We start from the raw sequence: 23574 nt of genomic DNA, 5'->3' as shown, positions 1-23574 counted from the left end.
ACTCTGGGCTGGGTCCTGGAGCTCACACATCATCCCTTTGGAATCTGTTCTAGACCCTCTCCCCAGATCAACATCAGCACCCTGATCTGTGTGTCTTGGGATCCACCTTATTCTTTCTGGAAATGAAGGCAATGTCTGCCACCTCCCATCCCCCAGATCTCAAAGGTCACCAGCAACTCCCATTTCACCTCACGTGCTCCCAGGACTCAAAGTGGGATTTCTCGGGCCTAAAGAGAAAAATGTACTTGGCAGAGCTCTGAGCTCTAGGACAATCTCTCCCCACGTCTCCTTCTTCAGTCTACTCCAACCAAACCTAATTCCATTCGTGGCCACATTTGAGAAAGGAATGCCACAGCTTGAGGCTCATGGACCTCAATATGAAGACAATAGCTGCAGATGAAGCTGGAGAGTTCTGCTTCTCTACCACCCTCAGCCCCAACAGAAGCCTTCTTTGTTCCTTTTCTTACCCTGAACAAAACAAGAAATCCTTTTTTGCTGCCATTAGTAATTTCCTAAGTCTCACTCCATTGGGGTCCTCTCCCTTCCTGCTCCCTTTTCTGAAGCCATCTCTTTGGTTCAGCTTCAGGTGTTTGCCCTGTCTCTGATTTTGGTATATTCTCTATATATTCTTTATTGTAACTATTAGAGAGTATTATAATCTCTTTTATAATCTTTCCTATGTTAGTTACCTATTGCTACTTACATTTAGCAGCTTAAAACAACACATTTATAGTTGTACAGTTTCTATGGGTCAGGAATCCAGGATCAATTTAGCTGCAGTCTGGCTCAGGTCCCTCACATGGCTGCAGTGAAGGTGTTGGCTGGGGTTGCAGTCATCTCAAGGCTTCACCAGGGGAGGATCCATGTCTAGCTCATTCACGTGGCTTTTGGCTGGAGCTGATGCTCCTTGCCATGTGGGCTTCTCCATGGGGCGACTCCCAACATGGCAACTGGCTTCTCTTAGAGTGAGTGAACTGAGAGCGTGCACCCTAAACAGAGCCGCGTCTATTTATAACCTAATTGTGGAAGTGACAACCCACTACTTCTGCTGATACTCATAATCAGAGGGAAGTGATTACAGTGTGATGGGAGGCGAGGATCACTGGGGACCATCGTAGAGGCTGCCTACCACATTTCCCACCTGGCTTCTCCATGTGCTCTTGTGCCTAACACAGTGCCCTCAGTAGATGGTTAGCACTCAGTAGATATTTGCTGAAAGAATGAATGCGAGCATCAGAGGACACTCTGCAGAGTTTATATAATTCTGTATTGTTCTCTCGGGCTACTATCCCCCCTACCCCTGGCTTTTCCCGCATTTTTCTTCTTTCTTGGAATCATTTGCATTTAAAATTTAAACTTATTTTATCCTTGAATAGCACATTTTCTCATAGGAGCCTATTTATCTCCTCCCCCCACTTTTTGAGATTTGCCTTCCAAAAATGGGGACATGCTTGGCATATATCTCATGTGGATAACCCCTATGGTGAGCACCTATGGATAACCCCTATGAATAACACCTATGGATAACCCCTATGGTGAGCACAAGCTCAGAAATGACTGGGCTACTTTCTTTATATAACTGGTCAGAAGGAACCTGTCTTCATCTAACCTGTCTTCATCTAACTGGTCAGAAGAAGCCATTCCCCATGTCACATCCTCCCAAGTGTTCACACCACGTGCGCTTACCTTCCCTCTTACGGCTCTCAGCCTCCGGAGCTTCCTGGGTTTTGTATGGGTCTGCCTTCCCGGTAAACAATGAATGACCCCTTACAGAGTAGGAACCGTTTAGCAAACATTCAATGAGCACTCACTGAAGCACGCATTATGTACTAGCACTGGCCTGGGGACCATGGAGACAAACGAGTAACTCATGGAACCTCCAGCATGTGGATGGAACAGGTGCTTGGGAATGCTTGCTCCTTCCGGGAGATCAAATTGTCAGCAAGTCTACCTAAACTAATTCTCAGATACTGTAATGGCAGAATTTCTAGGAATGGCTCCCAAGACTCCACACTCACTGGAACCCGTAAATATGATACTCCCCTGACTGTGCTATGCTATGTTGTATGGTACAGTTGACCTTAGAGAGGGGAGATTATCTGAGGGAGTCTAATCTAATCTCTTGAGTCACCAACAGCAAAGAACTCTCTTAGGCTGGTGGCAGAAGGCGAAGTCAGAGAGATTTGGAGCATAAGAAGGACTTGATGTGCTGCTGCTGGTTTGAAAAAGAGAGGGCCATATAAGAAGGAATGCCAGTAGTCTTAAAGTGCTGAGAGACAGCCAGCCAGTGAGGAATAGGGACCTCAGCCCTATGACCACAAGGACAGTAATCTGCCCACAAAGTGAACGAGTTTGGAAGCAGATTCTTGCAATATGTCTCATGCCCACCCCCAACACCTTGATTTCAGTCTTGTGAGATCTTGAAATTAGAATTCAGCCAAGCCCTCCCAGACTCCTGACCTACAGAAATGTGAGCTAATAAATGGGCATTTTTTAAGTGGACAATTCAGTAGTTTTTTAAATATAGCCATAAAATTGTACAACCATCATTTCTATATAATTCCAGAACATTTTCATTGCCTCTGCCCCCAAACAAAGCCCATACTTATTAAGTAATCACTCTACATTCCCCCAGCCCCAGAAATCACTAATCTACTTTCTGTCTCTATGGATTTGCCTATTCTGGATATTTCACATAAATGGCATTGTACAATATGTGGCTTTTTGTGTCTGAATTCTTTTGCTTAGCACGTTTTCAAGGTTCATCCAAGTTGTAGCATAGATCAGTGCTTCATTTCTTTTTATGATTGAATAACATTCCATTGTATGGATATACTACATTATATTTCTCCATTCATCAGTTAACGGACATTTGGTTTGGGCTGTTTCTGCTTTTTGGCTATTATGCATAAAGCTGCTATGAATATTTGTGAGAAGTTTTTGAGTAGTCACACATCTTCAATTCCCTTGGGTATATACCCAGGAGTGGAATTGCTGGGTCATATGGTAACTCTATGTCCAACTTTTTGAGGAAGGGTCAGACTGTTTTCCAAAGTGACTTCACTGGTTTAAGCTCCCACCAGGAGTGTACAGTGGGAATACATGCACACCAACACTTGCTATATCTGTCCTTTTTATTAGAACTATGCCAGTGGGTATAAAGTAGAATCACATCATGGTTTTGATTTGCATTTCCTTAATTACAATTGATGTTTTGTAGGTATTATTTTAGGCCACCAAATTTGTGGTAGTGTGTTACAAAGCAATAGAAAACTAATCTAAGTGCCTTCTTTTACCCAGGTGGTAAAAAAGGAAATGGAGCAAAAGTTGATTAAAAAAAAAAATAAGCCATTTGAGTTGAGTGGCCAAAGAAGGCAATAAATGACATTCTCATAAAGCAGGTCTGGACTGCTGCGAGTGTGAGGACAGACATCTAAAGTTGAGGCACAGGGCTAAGTCAAGAACAAGGGCAGTTTACTCAGTTATGAAGGTATGAACAGCACAGCAGACATGGAGTGAACCAGATGAATATTGGTAATAAGTTGCTTCTGCTGTTTTGCTAGTTTCCATTTGATCAGCAACAAGTATGGTTATATTAAAGGTGCCTCAAGGTCTGAGATATGTTTGATATTCAGCCACAAGTCCCTTGTAGCAGGACATCCAGATGGATGAAGACCCCATCACTTCTTAAAATACATTTCTGGGCAAGACCCAGGACATGTTTCAATATCTCAAACTCCACTTCTTTGATCTGGCCAGGGGAGCTTTAGAGGACATTCCTCTCCACTTTACAACTTTGATTGATTGATTCCATTCGTTCATGAATGGGCCAAGTTCTGTTCTTGGCCCTGAGGACACAGCAGTGAACAGATCCCATGAGGCTTATGTTTTAGGTGGGAGAGTGGTCAAGAAGCATAAAGTTAATACAAAAGTGAATTATATACTTGCAGAGTGTTGGTGTTATGCAATTTAAAAAGAAAAGAAAAAGCAAACCAGGGTAAAGGAGCTCAGGATCCAGAAGGTGGGAAGGTTCAACTGCAGTGAAAGTGTGGTCAGGGAAGGCCTGCTGAGATTTGAGCAGACTTGAAGACAGTGAGGATTTGGTAAGGTAGATATCTGGTAGAAGAACGTTCCTGGCAGAGAGAAAAGTTACAACAGAGGTCCTAAGGCACTATCATGTCTGTTACGCTTGAGACACAGCGAGGAGGTTGGTGCACCTGGAGCAGAGCAAGGAGGAGAGTAGAGGAGATGAGGTCCGAGTGTTAGTAGAGCCAGACCATGCAGAGCCTTGCAGTCATTGCCAGGACCTTGGCTTTTAGGTTGAGTGAAATAGGGGCTTTGGAGGCTTTGAGCAAAGAGTTACGAACCCTAGCTTAGATTTTTAAAAGGATTCTTCTAGCTGCTGTGCTGAGAATAGATGGGGTGGGGGTGTGAGGTTGGGGCAAGGGCAGAGGCAAGAGGGCTTGTAGAGAGGGGTTGTACTGCACTAACCCAGCTACAAGACAACCATTGCTTGGTTGACCATGGTAACAGGGGTAGGAGTAGGAAGTAGTCAGCTTTTCGATATAGTATTTGAAAGCAGAGCTAATGGAATCTCATGACAGAGTAGATGTGTTAGGAGTAGAGAGGGGAGACAAAGAAAAGATTAAGACATAGTGCCAAAGTTTTTGCCTGAGCCACATGAATGAGGGAGTTACCCATAAGCTGAGATGGGAAAGGCTGTATATATAGTGGGTTTGTGGGTGATCAGGAATTTAGTTTTGGATAGGTTAAATTTGAGAGGTCTATTGGATATCCAAGTGATTGATACCACATAGGCTGATAGATACGAGTTTGGAGTTGATTGAGAGATCTGGCCTGAGGATAGCCATTTGACAGTCATCAGCATATAAATGGCATTTAAAGCAAACCTGAAACACAATCCTTGGTGCTTTTGACATATAGGATTGTTTCCCTTCCCCTGAACAAATTCATTTTCTTTGTGCCCATGAAAATTTCTATTTTGTTTCTGAGGGGCGAGTCTTATCCTACCACATCTTGGTGAAGTTGGAAAGGTGCATTGATTTTGCTGACTTAAAATCTCAAGCCCCTGGGATTTATTATTCTACTCCGATCTCTGTCACTACATTATTCATCTGCCTCTTCTCCAGGTGACGTCTCTGAAAAACAGGGCAGCATCCCCACATTGCCCTTCTTTCTGGGTCATACCTGTGGATGCTATGCCAGTGTTATTTGGCCATCTTTCTACCTCTTCCTGCATTTTCAGTTTGTTGATAGTTCTGAGTCAGATCGGAAAGCTCTTGGTGTGGGCCCCAGCATACCGTCTGTATAGGGAGTGTTAGATGGTGTTTTTAATTCAGCAAGTCATAGGATTTTAGGCCAGTCCTGTAGACCATGCTCTCAGGGGCAGGAGGTGAGGCTAGCTGCCAAAGATGCCTCTACTGCCCCAGCCCCTCAACACAGGGATTTGGGATGTGCCCCGGGATGAGGTGTTCCTGACTCTTGTCAGTTGACTATTCTCTGCCCATTTCAGGAATAGAGACACAACGGTCTGGGGTGGGTGCGGCATGTGAAACAGACGGGATTGGAAGTCAGGGCGTAATAAGAAACTGACATCCGGGTCCCCTGTCTTGTGTCACTCTGGAGTAGAGATTTGGGGTCTCCTAGAGTCACAGTGAAAGTGATTGAGCTGGAACACCCGTAGGAGCTTGGCCTGGTTCCTCTCTACAAGCCCCCTGCCCTTTCCCTCCTCTGGGTTCTTGCTTCCCTCTTCCCGCGGGCCTGGTTGTCCTGGCCTCCTCCTCCCCTGCTTCAGGAGGAGAGGGGCCAATTCAGGGCCCTGTGACTCAGGCGCGGGTTGGGGAGGATGTTTTGGATGCCGCTCTGCTGACGCTGGTGCCCTCTGTTCTTACATCCTCCTTAATTTACTGCCTGAGGAGGGGGCCAGGGCTCTGGAGAGGGGATTAGATGGTCCACACTGATCTGAGGCAACAGCTGCTGGGCTGGCGGCCGAGGAGTGAGCAGTGAGCAGGCGGTGGGGGAGGCTCATGCCTCCATCAGGGCCGGAAGGGAACTAGGCAGGCATCCGGATGGTGCCCTTAGGTAAGGGTGGCTCTGGAGGAGGCTGCTCTTGGTCTGAGGGATAGGGCTACAAGGCCTGTCTGGTCAATAAGGTCAAATCCAGGTGTCACAGGAAGAAGGCCTAGAGGGCCAACTGGTCAACCATCTTGCCAGCTTTCTGGAGAATATTGGGAAGTGTTTTCTTTAGCCTCCTGAAATCCAGAAAGGAGAATATTGGCTCTGGGGCCCTGGTTCAAAGGGAAGTCTTGCCAAGCTCTAAGCTGTCATGTAGTTGCATGAGAGGCCCCCTAAAGTCAAAGCTGTTACACACCAGTTGGAGTGATCCCTTCCACCATGATGGCACTCTTCTCTCATTGACTCTCCACTCACAAGGCAGAAGGCAGACTAGACAGTGGCATTTCCATTTGACAGATGGGGCAACTGAGACCCACAGAAGGTGAGTGCCTTGTCTCAGGTCACACTTGGTGTTGGTAGAATGGATATGATTACAGCCCAATGCTCCTAACTAAATTGCTCTGCTTCTTGAATAGCAGTGCAACACATTGATATTTGGCACTGGAGGCCAGCATCTCTTCTTCCTTCTAGTTCATAATTCCACGTGATAGTTTTGTCTAACAGAAAATGGCCCAAACATGGGAGCCATAAGCTTGAACTCTTTGAATCAATTAATGTCCCCTTTTGGAGACTTGGTTTTCCCGTCTGTATTATGGATATCTTGAATAGCACTATGACTGTCCTCAAAAGCATAGCAGTCTTGTCTTAATCACTCAAAGGACAGGAAAGACACTGGGGATCATTAAAAATATTGCAGTGAAGATTTGGGCTCTGGAGTCAAAATATCTAGGATCAAATAAAATCTCTGCCACTTACTAACTTTATTTTACCTAGTGAGTTTCTTCCCCTCTTTGAGCTCAATTACGTCATTTTCTGCAGACAAGAGGTAATAACACCTATCACACGTGGCTGCTATGAGGATTAAAAGACAATGAATGCTAAAGGCCTAGCATTGTTCTTGGGGCATAGTAAAGCTGAGTGAATTATAGAAAGACTAGTGGTAATAGTACTTCTTGCTTATTGATACATGGAGCCACTGAGATTGAGGCAAGAACTCCTGGGCTAGTGGACGGTTTAGAGCAATGCTTCTCACTCCTGCTGACCAATCAGGATCATTGCATTGGAGATGGATGCTTAACAAGGTTCCTAGGCGATCCTCAGGCTCTCCTGAGGTTGGTAATCACTATCATAGAGGACCTGCTTTGATGGTGAGATAATTACTGTATCAGTTGTTTGTAGGTAAACAGGTGCTCAGACATTTAATAGTTTAAACATTTTCCCTGATTGGCACTTTCACTACTAATTAACTCCTAAAGAGCTCTTCCTTTTCTGGGTCATGAGCAGGAATTCCCCACTGGGGGTTCCCAATTAATGAAGTTTGCCCAGCTTGAGGGCCTCTGGGAAGCAGGCAGGACTAATTATTCTCTACCACCCTCCCGCACTGAAAAAAACCCTGGCCAAATCCTCTCCCTATCCTTCATCAATCTTGTCCTGGCCTCCAGCTGGCTTGCATTAGCTCTGGTTTTCCAGCCCCCAGGGCTGCGGCTGTAGTGGAGGGATTGAGCCAGTCCAGGCTGGATGGATCTGTCACCTGATCCTGGGTCTGTGCCGCAGCCAGTCCTGGAATCTGGGGCAACGTGATCCTGCCCTGCGGGAGCCCCTAGCCAGGCCAGGGACGCCATGGTGGGGCTCAGAACATCCTGGCTGTCCAGGGACCTCTGTTTAAGCCCGCAAGGATAACATCCGCAGACTCTCAGAGCTCCTCCTGTCTAAGCCCCTCACCTTAAAGAAAAGAAAACTGGAGCCTAGGTTGGTGAGGCACCTGCCTAAGGTCACATGCTTGTTCACAGCAGAGCCCCGGTCTCTCTCCTCCTACTGCAGGACTCTTTTCCTGGCTCCTCCTGGAGAAGTTTGTCTGCAGACCTATTGTCTGCATGATGGGATCAGATATGGAGGCTCCTGCTCAACCCCAGACACCCAAAGTAGAGGAGGTCAGGGGAAGGAGGGTTTTGGACTAATGCACATGATCCTTTGACCCAGATTAAATAAGTCGAATTTCAGGTCATTTAAAGGAGAAATTTGGAGAGTAGCAAGAATGGAAATATGGAAACAATTGAAATAAGGGTGATAAGTTTTTAAAATATCTTTTATAGATACTGTCATCTTTTAGTACAATTCAAGAACATAGATGGTTTGGCTGTGACACATGGAGACACTCTCCTCTGGAATCTGAGTTTGCTTTTTACCATGTCCTGCTTGCTTCACCCAGCAGTATGGAAACCCAGACCATGAAACAAACCTTTATAGAGGAAAGTTTCATTTTGTTCTTCAGTTGTTGAGGGAAAGGTCAAGATAGTTCTCCAAAGACTGATCTTTTCCACATCATTCCATTTTTTAATGCCTGGATATTTTTGCATCTCACTCAGACCTAATTCTCCTGTACCTGCTAAATAGTTTGAGCCAAATCTCTAGGACAAGAAATGGTTCTGTTAGAGTTCTGAGGGCAAGGACAGTGGGGGCCATATCGCTATCTGGTCTTGGTCTTAAAAGTACTGAGATGCCAAGCAGCTCTTAACTAGAGAAGGCGAAATGGCCACCTTCCCTTAGGGGCAGCCTGGAGCTCAGAGCTGGCTTCTGGCATGAGTCTTTGAGGGTGTGAAAATGTGCCTGCCCTTTAGTAAGAGTGGTCATTTGCTGAGAAAGGACCTACTATATCCCAAGGGCTTTGCAGACAATTATTTTGTAAGGTTAAGTATTTTAATCCCTATTACACACTTTAGGAAATGGAGGCTTAGGGCAGTCAGGTGATATGTCTAAGGCTACTAACCTACCAAGTGGCAGAGCCAGGATTTGAACCCAAGTTTATAGGATTCAAAAGTCAGTAGGTATTTCTTCAATGCCTTTTGGGTAGAAGTGTGGAATACCATATATCCCAGTTTGGTTGAGATACACTGGATCCCGTTTCTTGCTCCCTTTGAGTTTATTTCCCTATTGTTTGCTCTCAGAGTTCAGAAAATTGTTTAGGAAGGTTCCGTTGAGTGTGTGTAGCCTCTGGTGTTGCACCACAAACCCCTGGCCTGCCCCTGATTTCAGCCACAGCAGTAGTGGACAGTTCTGTGCAAGCTTGGACTCAGTCTCAATGTCCTACCGCAAGTAGGAGCCAGAGTCTTTCCAGATTCTGATCTGAGGTTTCTTTCACGACACAGAAGCTTGCTTACAACCTGCAAATGCTGCCTAGAGGCACAAGGCAGTTAACTTCCCTAGAAACAATTTTCAACCAGTAAGGGGAGATGGTGGATAAAGACTCCGGGTATCACCTGTCAGGTGCACACTGCAGGAGACGTTCTATAAACTTTTCAGAGATTCCAGAAGAATTGAGCCCCTACACCTATAGACATGAGTCCAAGGAAACACCCTCATTTTAGATTTTCCTACTTCCCTATCTCACTCTTGCTACTCCTATCTATCTGTGTCCTCAGATCACCTTCCAAGTAGATAACATTCAACAAGTCCTTGTCTCAGGTTCTGCCTTCTGGGCAACCCAAACCAAGATGGTTTGCCTGTGCCAGGAGGGCTGTTTGAATTGGGGAGCAGCACCATGAGGGGTGGAGGGAGTGACACCCGGTGACAGCAGTAGGAAAAAACTTTACACAAGGTAAATTCTAAGGGTTGTAGCAGCTGGGGCCTCCTATCCTTCTCTGGAGATTCTCCCCATATCAAACTCCTGGAGCTCCTGAAGTTTCTTTCCAAGAGGGAGGCATCGCATGGTTTGTGGGGGCCTGAAGACATGTGATTTCTTGACATTTGTGGCAGTGGGTGGGATCCTCACTCAATATGGTGATTTAGGAGGGGGTTAGAAATGTCCCTAGGCCCTTGGTGATGGCTTCCCTGGACTGCCAGTTGACTAGTGGGGTTGTCTCAAGCAGTGACTATCAGCAAGGCTGTCCCTGGGATGACTGACACCTGACCGCGATTTCAATTAGTCAGTTTCATTGGTCACAGAGCCTGGATCTTGCAGGACACGGGGCAGGAGGGCTGTTTTACCTGGTAGTGTCTTTGGACCTGATATCCAGCTTCATCCTAAGCCTCTGTATAAAAACAAAGCGGGGGAATTTAACCAGGCAGAAAAATCAATTTAAATGCTTACAGAGAAACAGTAAGGCCCAACACTGCCGCCTCATTTTCACGAGGTGAGTCACTCAAACCGTTGACCTCATGGCTGATCTATGAGCAAAGGCGTGCTGGCAGTTGCTGCTGGCACAGGAATGGCTTCAGACCTGTTTCCTGGAACCCTGGCGCCAGGCAGAGCTCAGAGTGGCCTTTTGCCATTAGGTCAGATCACCTCTCCGAGGAGCAAGTTCCCAACACAGAGATGCAGGCTTTCCTGTGACTCTGTGACTGGTCAGTTTCACTGAATAATCCCCTTTTCTCAGTTATTGCCTGGCCGGTTTAATCACCCATCTGTCACAATATGCAGCTCTCATTGGTCAGGTTCACCATATGCTCTCCAAAGCCCTTGTTCTATGATTGGTAAATTCCACCATCCAGTCAGCTGAAATGAACCTCTGCTTGGTCAGCTCTCATAAACCGTCCATCCAGTTTCTAGGCTAGTTCCTGCTATGATCATCTGAATTTATGCTGCTCTCATAGACCTAATGTGAGCATTCCTATTTCATTCCTTTTCCCTGTCCTGTAGGTTTAGAAACAAAGGTTTGGAGGTGGAAAAGACCTGGGTTTGAATCCCAGCCCAGCCACTTATTAGTTTCATAATTGTAGACAAACTATTTAACTTTTCTGTGCTCCAATTCTAATAGCTAAGAGCCCTGGAGTCAGATGGGTTCAAATCACAGATTTATTATTTGCTGACTGTGTGATTTCAGATGGGTTACTTAACTTCTCTGAGCCTCACTGTTTTTGGCTATAAAATAGGGATATTAGTAGAACATACCTCAAGGACTTGTTGTGAGGATGAAATGCCATAATTACTGTAAAGTATTTGGCACACAATAAGTTCTCAATAAATGTTAACTCTTTTTCTTGTGTATTTAGAAGGAAGGAAACATGAAGAACAATAAAGACCCAGCCTTATCCTCAGGTAGCTAAATATTCTGTTCCAAAGGTCAGCCAATGTGCAGACCTGGGTGATGGTCAGGACAACCCCAGCAACAGGTCCCACCTGGGCTTGTCCCTTACAAGGTGCAGGCAGACACTCCAGGTGTGAGCCAGAGGGCCAGGAGGGGCAGCAGGATGTATAAGAACATTGCGTTAAGATCAGTGACTCTGAAAGACCCACATGAGTCAGAGAGGGCAATACTATTGGCTATTAATTATGCTAAAGCACTCAATAATTAGCATGAAAGCATTAGCAAAGAAACAAACACCCACTTACGTAGGATTCAGATACAGGATCTGGATTCAAACACATGACTGCAGAATCAGGATGTATAACAATTATTACAACGAAGGAGGTAAGATCTAAGGTTTCTGTTTTTTCCGTTCTGTTTTGTTTTGTTTTGTTTTGTTTTTTTGAGACCAAGTCTTGTTTTGTCACCAGGCTGGAGAGCAATGGCACAATCTCGGCTCACTGCAATCACCACCTCCTGGGTTCAAGCAATTCCCCTATCTCAGCCTCCTGAGTAGCTGGGAATACAGGCATGTGCCACCACTCTGGGCTAATTTTTTGGTTTTTTTAGTAGAGACAGGGTTTCACCATATTGGCCAGGGTGGTCTTGATCTCCTGACCTCGTGATCTGCTGGCCTCGGCCTCCCAAAGTGCCGGGATTACAGGCATGAGTTCTAAGGAATCTTAAAGTGCATCTTTGCACTGCTTTATTAATATGATTATCTGCCAGTTGCCCAATAACACTTAATTACCATCCTACTAGTCTTTAATTGGTTAAGCAGTGACAAGACCAAAATATATCATACAGATAAAGATAAAAGCATCAGTGGGTTTACAAAAAGGGCACAAGAAATTGTTATATTGGTTAAATTCAGCTTTTGGAATTCAGACGATTTTGACAAAGAATGTTTCTTTTGCACTTATTACTCTAAAATCTTTGGATTGGACTATAATAATATAGACTATTTTTATGTGCAAATAATATTTTATGTGCCTATAATCATATAGCCTGGATTATTTTTATGTGCAAAAATTATGTGTGTGTGTGTGTGTGTGTGTGTATATATATATATATATATATATATATATATATATATATATATTCAGTATATTGTGAGGCGCTGTGAAAACTGGTTCTCGCCTGCCCTTTGCCAGAAGAATCTGAATGTTTGTATGAGTATTAGCAAGGATGAATGCTGTAGTGGTTGCTAGCCCTTTGAGACTTGGCTGTTTGTTACCTGAAAGTATATAGAAAACTTTGTCAGAATTATATGGCAGGGATCTTCTATAACTTAAAAAAAAAAACTTCCTGATACATGTTTCTATTCTAAGTGGTTTGGGTTTATACCCTACAGCATTTCTTTTTCTTTTTTTCTTTTTTTATTTTTGAGACAGAGTCTTACTCTGTCACCCAGGCCGAAGTGCAGTGGTACAATCTCAGCTCATTGCAGCCTCTGCCTCCTGGGTTCAAGAGATTCCTTATGCCTCAGCCTCCCGAGTGGCTGAGATTATAGGCAGATGCCATCATGCCTGGCTAATCTTTTTTTGTATTTTTAGTAGAGATGGGTTTCACCATGTTGGCCAGGCTGGTCTCAAACTCCTGTCCTCAGGTGATCCACCTGCCTTGGCCTCCCAAAGTGCTGGGATTACAGGTGTGAGCCACTGCTCCCAGCTTCAGCCCCACAGCATTTCTCCCATCGACTTTCAGGCTGTTGGGCTGAAGTAGGAAAGGAGAAAGAGATGATGTAAGAGAAGTCCCTTTAGACAGAAGGGGAAGCAGAGAGCTCTTCCTGAAAGTATAAAATAATATCAGGATGCTGCCTTAGTCCAGGGATACAGGGGAGAGGAGAGAGGATGGATGCCCTGATAAAACCACACACTTCCAAGTTTTAGGAAATGCTACAAGAGTTTGTGTTGTGGTTGCATTTTCTCCCTGCCCCACTCATATGCTGCACGCTGTGTCTAGACTGATAGCCAGAAGCAGGCTTCACATGCTTTTAAAGGGATCCAGAAGCATCTTCATGGCTGCGGCAAGCAGAAAAGTTGACGCGAATTAAGAATCGGCAGGCCTGTCTAAAGATTGCCATGGTGTGGAAGTCCAAGGTCCCCCATGGCTCGGAAGTCGGAAGACTCCCATTACAAGAGGCTGGGAATAGGCAGCCCAAAGCTGGGGTTTAGGTGGGAGCTGTAGCTGAGTTTCACAGGGTCAGTAGCTTGAGCAGGAGCCGAACAGCAAAATGACAGGGCTATCTTTCAGAATGTAATCACCGAGTCATTTGCCGGTACTGAAGGCACAGACTGAGATTGGTCAGCAACGGATAAGGGAAGGAGGAGGTTCACTTCTAGAGACCAGGTGGACTGATCTATCCCTTTCCCCCAGGTGAGCAGAAGCCATATGGCTTAGACCGCAGGTCCTCCTCCATGCCATTGTGCTATGGAGCACCCCCTTTTCTTGTCAGTGCCTCTATAGCATTCAAGGGGAAGAAAGAGGAAGGAGTGAGTGGGGAGTACCTTGAAGAACTGAAGTACTCACCAAAAGAGCATGCATTTACTCCAAAGCAATTTTAACTTGAAGAGTTGGAGTGTACAATTCTTCCTCCACCTTCAGTTCATTTGGAGACTTTAAAACAAGTTGAAAACATATAGAGAACAATAACATATTTTCTAGCATAGTTGAGTTGTAATGCATAAGTTGTAATCCAGTTACAAAATGTACAGTGGACAGCATGCTTGCCCTAAAGGCTGTGTAACAACCAACTGTTTTAAATCACATTTCCCACATCGTAAAACTCTCTTGTTTGAAAGGATAGTACTTTAAATTTTTTTTGTCATATGCTCCAAAGCATAGATGGTTCTCTGATCTGCAGATTCTTTGGGGGAAAGGATTATAGTCCATCATTTTTCATCCTGTAATTGATACAGCAACTGCCCATTGAGACACAAGATTTCAGAGGCCAAATACAGCTACTGGCTTTGTTTGCATTTCACCAATCACATTAAAAGATGGGTGAAAAATCCAGTGTGGCAGACACACCAAAGGAATAAAAACAATTCTCAAGTAACCCTCCAGAATTATGATCAATGCTGCTCTGTGCAAAATCATAAAAAAGGCAAATGGAAAAAATTAAAATTGAATTTGCCAAGATAGTTATTTTGAAATATTACAACCAGAGTGCCTGCATTTATGTTGTGTGTTCTGCAGTTTCAACAATTCCTAACACTTTTGATTTTGGCAGAATGTTCTTTCTCGAAATTAAAAATAAAGACCCTTTGGCCAGACACGGTGGCTCACGCCTGTAATCCCAGAACTTTGGGAGGCTGAGGTGTGTGGATAACCTAAGGGCAGAAGTTCCAGACCAGCCTGACCAATATGATGAAACCCTGCCTCTATTGAAAAATACAAAAATTAGCCAGGCATGTTGGCGTGTGCCTGTAGTCCCAGCTACTTGGTAGGCTGAAGCAGGAGAATTGCTTGAACCCGGGAGGCAGAGGTTGTGCCACTGCACTCCAGCTTGGGCGACAGAGTGTGACTCCATCTCAGAGAAAAAACAAACCAACCAACAAACAAAAACAAACAAACAAAAAACACCTTTAAGGAACTACAGGAGGCAGCACTTGACTTGTGAGGGTAGCATAGCTTAACGAAAAGGCTCAAAAAGCTGGAACCTCCCGCTCTCTCCCAACAGAAATTGCAAAATCACAGCATACCCTTTGTCATTTGTATAAAGCTCTTCATAGCAAGAGAATATTGTTTGATTGTTATATTTTTGATATTTGTTTTACATTTTCTGTTTTTTTAAATGAAGAGTATTTTGTTTTAAGCAGTGAACCAATTGGTGATTAGTAATGTGCCCAGTTATTATACTAAGCTCTCTATATTGTGCTCAGTGCTGGATGGAGGTATGGCGAACGTCACATTGTGGTCTGTTCCTCCTGCCAGAAGGTCTTGCTATTCCCCAAACATCTGCTTGGAACTCCCACTTTTGCAGTCCTGTGGGCGAAGGCACCTCCTTTATAAAACGTGCTCACCTGCACAGTGCGAGCAACGCAAGAAAGAAGTAGACAGGAGAGGAGGGTAGGAGACAGCCACAGATACGGAGAAAAACACTTTTACTGAGAATGTGCTGGGCACTGTGCCGAGCTCTTTATAAGCATATCGTTGCGATTTTTTTTTTAAAAAAACCTTTTTATTGAAGTATAATACACATAGAGAAAATGCATATAAATGTACAGCTTGATATATTTTCACAAAATGAGCACAGCTGTGTAATTCAGCTCCCAAATTGAGAAACAGGCCATAACAACACACCCAGAAGCCTGAAAGTGTCCCCTTCCAACACTTCTGACTCTACCAAGGGTAAGAGTTAGAAGGATAATACTATCCTGACTTCTAGCACTACAAATTAATTGTGTCTGGTTTTTTTCAAAAAAAATTTTTATGTTTTGAAATTATCTTAGACTTGCAAGAAGTCGCAAAAGTTGTACAGAGTGTTCTTGTGTACCCTTTACCCAGCTTCCCCCAATGATATATTACAAAAATTTTTTTAAATTTATTTATCTTTTTTTGAAATGGAGTCTCACTCACTGTCACCCAGGCAGGAATGCAGTGGCGTGGTCTCAGCTCACTGCAACCTCTGCTTCCCGGGTACAAGCGATTCTCCTGCCTCAGTCTCCCCAATAGCTGGGATTACAGGCGCCTGCCACCACACCCAGCTAATTTTTGTATCTTTAGTAGAGACAGAGTTTTGCCATGTTGGCCAGGCTGGTCTTGAACTCCTGACCTCAGGTGATCCGCCCACCTCAGCCTCCCAAAGTGTTGGGATTACAGGCGTGAGCCACCATGCCCAGCCTATATTACAAAATTACAGTATATCATCAGACAGGAAATTGCTGTTGGTACAATACTACTAACTTTGCTACAGACTGTGTTCAGCTTTCACCAGTTTTTACACGCACTCATTGTTTTCGGGGTACAGTTCCATGAAATTTTATAACATGTTTAGATTCATGTAAATTACCCACCATGATCAGGATACAGAAATGTTCCATTACCACAAAGAATTGTGCCTGGTTTTGAGCTTTATCTAGATGGTACCATACAGTATAACTTGGTTCTTAGGGTATGCACAAGTTTATCTTGGATAAATACTGTAAATGAGTTTTCCAAGATGGTTATACCAACTTACATTCCCAGTAGCAGTTTACAGAGTCCTGGTTTCTACATCCTTAGCAAATATTGACATTTTCTATCTTTTTTCTAGCCATTTAGTGATATTGAATGTAGTATTGTGTGGTGGTTTAATTTGCATTTCCCTGATGACTAGTGAAATTGAGCACAGTTTCACACATTTATTGACTACTTTGTTATTATTTGGATATTAATTTTTTGAGAAGTGCCTGTTCAAGTCTTTTGCCATTTTTTATTGTGTTGTCTTTTTTATTTCCATTATTGATTTGCAAGAGTTTGGATATGAGTGCTGATATGGTTTAGATTTGTGTCCCCACCCAAATCTCATGTCAAACTGTAATCCCCAGTGTTGGAGGAGGGGCCTGGTGGGAGGTGACTGGATCATGGAAGCGGATTTCCCCCTTGCTGTTCTTATGATAGTGAGTTAGTTCTCATAAATCTGTTTGTTTAAAAGTGTGTAGCACCTCGCCCTCCTCTCTATTCCTCCTTCTCTGGCCATGTAAGATGTGCCTGCTTCCCCTTCACTTTTGGCCATGATTTTAAGTTTCCCGAGGCCTCCCCAGCCATGCTTCCTGTACAGCCTGTGGAACTGAGTCAATTAAACCTCTGTTCTTTATAAATTACCCAGTCTCAGGTAGTTCTTTATAGCAATGCAAGAACAGATTAATACAAATGCTTTGTTGAATACAATATCTTCTCCCACTATGTGTTGCTATTTTAATTAAAAAATAGACCATTTTAAAGAGCATTTTTAGGTTTACAGAGAAACTGAGCAGAAAGTAGAGAGTTTTCACATAGCCCCAGCCGGACACATGCCCAGCCTCTCTCCCAGTGTCAACAACCTGCACCAAAATGATACATTTGTTACAATAAATGAACCCACATTGACACATCATTATTGCTCAAGGTCTATAGTTTACATTAGGGTTCACTTTTTAGGTTGTACATTCTGTGGGCTTTGAGATGTATAATTGCATGTATCCTCCATTATAGTATCATACTGAATAGTTTAACTGCCCTAAAAATTCTCTGTGCTTTACCTTTTTTCTCTCTCTCCCCAATTCCTGGAAACCATTGATCTTTTTCACTGTCTCCACAGCTTTGCCTTTTCCAGAATGTCATATAGTTGAAGTTATACAGTATGTAGCTTTTTCAGATTGGTGCCTATCACTTAGTAATATATGTTTACAGTTTCTTCATGTCTTTTCATGGCTTGATAGCTCATTTCTTTTTAGTGCTGAATAATATTTTATTGTCTGTTTATTTATCCATTCACCTACTGAAGGACATGTTGTTGCTTCCAAGTTCTTGAAATTATGAATAAAGCTGCTATAAACATCCATGTGCAATTTTTGTGTGGACATAAGTTTTTAACTCATTTGAGTAAATACTGAGAAGTGTAATTACTGGATCATATGGTAAAAGTATGTTTAGTTTTGTAAGCAACTGCCAAGCTGTATTCCAAAGTGGCTGTACTATTTTGCATTCCTATCAGCAATGAATAAGAGTTCCTGTTGCTCCACATCCTCACCAACATTTGATGTTGTCAGTGTTTTAGACTGTGGCCATTCAAATGGATGTGTAGTATTATCTCACTGTTTTAATTTGCAATTCCATAATTGCATAAGGACATATGATGTTGGGAATCGTTTCCTATGCCTATTTGCCATCCTTGTGTTTTCTTTGGTGAAGTGTCTGTTCATATCTTCTGCCCATTTTTTAATTGGGTTGTTCATTTTCTTATTATTGAGTTTTAAGAGTGCTTTGTATATTTTGGATAACAGTCCTTTATCAGCTAGATCTTTTGCAAATATTTTCTCCCAGTATGTGGCTTGTCTTCTCATTCCCTGGATGTGTTGCCTTTTCACTCTTTTAATGGTATCTTTTGCTGAAAACACATTCATAATCTTAATATGGTCAAATTTTATGTTCTATTCAAGAAAATTTTACCTACACCAAAGTCACAAAAATGTCCCATACTTTGCTCGAGAAGTGTTACTATTTTACCTTTCACACTTCAATTTGTAATCCAACTGAAATTGATTTTTGTGTATGGTGTGAGGTGGGGCAGGTGGGCAGTCAACGTTCTCTTCTTTCCCTGTGGACATCCAGTTGACCCAGCACCATTTACTGAAAACATCATCATTTCCTTATTGCACTGCACTGGTATATTTGTCATAAGCCAGGTATCCATATATGTGTGAGTTTGTTTATTACGATCTTTTATTCTTCACAACAATTCTTTGTAAGAGGTGAGGGCTCAGGATTCAGGGCACCTGTCTTCCTGACCTGCTCAACAGAGTCCTTACCCAAGTCTCACTGGAAGCTGGGGAACTTCTGTGATTGCAGTTAATTCTGTAGGCTTTGGAATCCTCGTTGTGTGGCTTTGAACAGGTTGGTTGACTTCTCTGAGCCTGTTTCTATAGGTGTAAAATGAAGACAAAGAATAACAGTGTGACCTGATACTTGGGAAGTTTAGACAATTAAATGTATATTATTGTTGTCTGTTATCTTAAGAATGATAATAACAAGGACGGAGTGCTTCCACTGCATCCTCTAAGTGTCGTAGTGCCCCACCTCCCTTGTCCCTAAGCTAATGTTCTTGTGAGGACAGGGGAATGACGATGGTTTGAAGGGCTGCCCCCTGGGGAGAGCCCACTGCTTCCCATCCTCCAGGCTTCTTCTTTCTCTGCATATTATTTTCCCACAACCTCTGCTCCTTCCTGAGACCATCTCTAACCTCCTCTCTTAAATCTTTGTTAAGTGCTGGCATTTCCAAGGCAGGCATGGGATGCAGGAGCAAGAATAAGGTGTGGCAGTCAGAAAACCCTGGTTCTTAGGCTCGGCTTAGCAGTTAATCTGAGCCAAGATTGTCTAAAATAATCTTAGATAAACTGCTCCCCTTCCCTGAGACATAGATTATCACACACAGTGGAGTGGGATCATTCCATCCTGTTCTCAAGCCTCCTTGGTGCTCATATTCTATAACTTCTTGATGAGACATGACATCATTTACCCTGGTTTGTGGTCATTTCCAGGGTAAGTTCCCAGAGAAGCTACAGAGGAGGTTTATCCCATGCAAGGGGGCTTATCACTTTCTAGAAAAGAGCCAGGCAGCCTGATTGCTTTTCTTTCTTATTTGTCCCAAAGAAAGAATAAAAAATACAGAAATATCTTTATGCACTAAGATGTTCACCACACCATTGCTTATGCCCGTGAAAACATCCAGTTTGGAAACAATTGCTTTGCCTTATTGCTCCATCCAAGGCCAGCCAGGCTGGTCCTCAGGATCCCAGATTCAGTACAGAGAAATAAATCTAATATTGACTTGGCTTTAAGAAGGCAGTCACAATACTTGATATAAAAACATTTAGTCATTCATCAAATATTTTTCAGTCACCCATTGTGTTCTATGCCCTGGGCTAAGAAGTGGCTATACAAAGATGACTCAGACACTATTTCTGCCCTTAAGGAGTTCACAGACTAACCAAGGAAGAAGAAATATAAGGGTTGAAGTAAAAGTCAATGTAAGTGCTGCCCTAGGGACATGTGCAAGGTGTCCTGAGAGCCCGGGGAAAAGAGAGAGTTATTTTCCTTGGGAAATAAGGGAAAGCTTCCAGGAGGAGATGGTATCTGGATTTTCCAGATGATAAATTGGAAAGTAATTTCAGGCAGTGAAAGCAAAGGCATAGAGAGGGATTCTGTCTGTGCAGCTGAATTATAGGGTGCATAAGGGTGGCAAAGTGCAGAAGAGGGAGGAGAGCAATTAGGACAGTAAACTGGGGTCACTTGTGGAGGGTCCTGAATGCCAGGGTAAGGAGCATGGGCTGCATCCTGTAAGCTGAGTGGGCTGGGGAAGGGGGCATTAGGATAGCAAGAGAATGATGATTCGGAAATGTTTTTGAAAGACAGATTGGGGAAGGGCAAGAATGGAGACTGAGTGATCAGGTGGGAGCTGCTTGTAGTTTTCCAGGAGAGGAAGGAAGAGGCATGGGGACATGAGGGCCTAGGATGGAGGGAAATGGAGTCCGAGTGCCATTTAGGAGGTAGAATCCAAAGGCCCTGTGGGTCGAGAGGATGTGAGAGGTGTGATAAGTCTCAGGTTTCTGACTATGGCAATTGCATATCCTTTACTGAGATGGGAAACGCAGGAGGAGAAGCTAAGGGGATAACAGCTGTGGTTCGGATCGTGTTAAGTTTTAGGTGCCTAAGAGGAGATATCAGGAGGCCCGTGAGTGGATGAGTCAGGGCTCAGAGAGAGATGGAGGCTGAGAGCTTGTTTTGGGCCTCATCAGTCTAGAGTTGGTGTTCAAAGCCTTTGGAGGAGAAGAAATGTGTATTGAAAGAAAGGACCTGAGGACAGAACCAAGAGGAGCCCCTACCTTTAAGAAAGGGAAAGAAAAGCAATAAAAAGACAAAAGGGGAAAAGCCAGTGAAAGAGGCAGAGAAAGAACCGTCAGAAGAGATGAGGAGAGAGTAGTGTTCTAGGATGAGGAAGGAGGAGAGAGCAGGAAGGTAGGAGCGGTCAATATGTCCTATAATGCTGAGAGGTCCAGGCGGCTGAGGACCATGAAGTGTCCATTACATGCAGGAATGAAGTGGTCAGAACAGGGTAGTTTCCACAGGGTGTGAAGAGTGGAATCCAGATAGCAAGACATTGAGTGGGAACTGGGGAAATGGAGGACAGTGAATGGAGACAGTGTCTTTGAGGAGCTCGACTAGAAAGAGAAGGGAAGAGACGGGCAGTGACGACAGTGATCAGGCACGACGGAGGGTTGAAGGAAGGTGTGAAGCATGGTGGTGGCCACCATCCTCTTCCCACCCACTGCCAGTTAGGGATCTCTCTCCTCTTGCAGGGCTTCCCACAGAAGAAAGTGCCTGGGTCAAATGTCTGTCATTTTCCCTTTGGGTGTGTGAGTGTTTGTAGTGTGTGCATGCCTGTGTGCAGACAGCTGTAGTACGGAGCCTTTGGGTCAGAGCTCTGACTCCCCACCTGGTCTGGAGGCAGCCCTGGTCAGCCCCAAGATTCCCGAGAGGATGGGCCTGCTTCTTTTTCTCTAAGATGAGGACAAGGAGCTGGAAGCAGGCTGCGGACCATCAGGATCTGTCAGCAGCCCCTGTAAGTCTACCCACCATCTGGGCCCTATCAGACGAGTGGGGCTTTTCCTACATTAATCTCTGATGAGCTTGGCCCGGCTTTCATTTCAAAAGGCTCCACTTCATTTTCTGTGTTCCACCCAGCCCCTTCTTTATGCCCCCTCCCCAGGACAGGACTAAAAATTATGCTTTCTCCCTTCCTTGGTTTCCCAACGCAGCTGGGGCCAGAGAAAGCTTTGAAATTGGAGCAAGGCTCAGGATGAAGAAAGAGGGGGTGCTGAGTAGGGGTGGGGAGGGACTGGAAGTGGAAATGGCCAACAGAGCCTCTGAGGGAGGGGCAGAGAGCAGAGATCTTTTGGTGACCGATTCTGACCCCTCAGGATCTCTGATCCTTTTCTTCTCATCTCCCACCAAATATCCATCCATCACCCCTGTCCTTCCTCTCTTTGTCCCACATCCCTGGAAACAATTTCCTGTAACTTCTACTCCTCCCATCCCCATGTGTCTCTGCAGACCAGGCCAACTCTGTGTGTCAGGGAGTGAGTCTGGGCAAAAGCTGACCTGTTATGCTTGAAATCAGGGGCTTTCAAGGCCATGAGCCGGGGTTCTTGAGCTTGTTCTTCTATCTTCCTCCTTCCACATTCATTGTACAGTACAGGAGACCAGTGTTGAATGGCTGTGTGCCAAATGCAAAATAAGGTGTTGGGTTAACCAGTGAACAGAGTTTGATGTATCTCAGAGTCCAGGAATCCTGGAAGGTCAGAGCTAGGAGACACCTTGGGACATGTAGTCCAGACCAACTACCGTATGTAAAGGAGTGCTATGGCCCAGGAGGAAAGAGTGATCACAGAGGGAGTTGGTGGCTGGGCCAGGATGAGAACCTGGCAGTAACGCTCCCATTCATGAATCGGTCTAGTGTGGGTCGAGCTACAAGCATAAAAGATGCTCCATGGGTCATAATTCAAGGACCAAGTTGTATCCACAGTCAAAGGGGGCCAGGGTTGTAGTAAAGATGTCTCATGATAGATCCGGATTCCACAAATTGGAGATGAGGGATGGGTTGGAGCCAAAGCCAAGGACCAGTTTGTAAGAGGATTGGGGAATGAGTGGAGGATAAGTGGCTCAAAATAAAAGGCAAGGAGCCCAGTCTTACTAAATTTCTCCTTCTGTGAGTCCGTGTCTTTCTGTTTGCATGAAGAGGAGATTCGTTCAGTGATGGAAGGCTGATCATATGGATGCAGGATGGATTTGGCTACACATAACAGAAAACCCAACCCAAATGGGTTTAGACCAATAAGAGCATCTATTAACTCACAAAATAAGTTCAGAGATGAAGTAAGACTCAGAACTGATTGATTCAGCAGTGCAATCATGTCACCAAGGATTCAGGTTCTGTTACTCAGCTTTGCCTTACTCCATTTAATAATGTGGTTGCCTCTTAGTTGTAAGATAGCTGCCAGCAGAAAGCTGGGTTTTTTTTTTCATTTGTTCAGTTTAATGGGAAAGAGGAAAATAATTTCTCCCCCACCATGGAATGTACATCTTTCTCTTGAGTCTAATTGGGCAACTTTAGGTTACATGCCCATTTCTGGACCAATAATAGTTACCAGAAGAACCCTGTGCTTATTGACTTAGACCAGAGATTGGCAAACCATAGCTCATGGATCCAAGAAGTCAGGACATAAGCTAAGAATGGTTTTTGCATTTTTAAATGGCTACAGTGTAATGGTTATATAATTACCCATGTAATAGCTTTCATGTTGTTTTTTAGCCTTCAAAGCCTAAAATATTTACTGTTTAGTCCTTTAAGAAAAAATTTGCCAATCCCTGGCTTAGACTAATTAGGATCTACCCCTGACGTTGGGGGTGAGTTCAACTTTCTCTGAAGTCCATGACTATGCAGAGGACAGGCGGATATCTGCATAAAATTGGGTTTCTCTTTGTGAAGGAGAAGGTTGGTAGAACCGGGTAGAAACCAAGAGTGTCCATTGTAGCATAAAAGATAGCCATATAGTCAAATCTCATGAAAACT

The sequence above is a fragment of the Homo sapiens genome, chromosome 11, assembly GCF_000001405.40.
Source record: "Homo sapiens chromosome 11, GRCh38.p14 Primary Assembly".
In the NCBI taxonomy this organism is placed as follows: domain Eukaryota; kingdom Metazoa; phylum Chordata; class Mammalia; order Primates; family Hominidae; genus Homo; species Homo sapiens.
The sequence above is the reverse complement of the archived record's forward strand: the minus strand, read 5'-3'. Positions refer to the sequence as shown.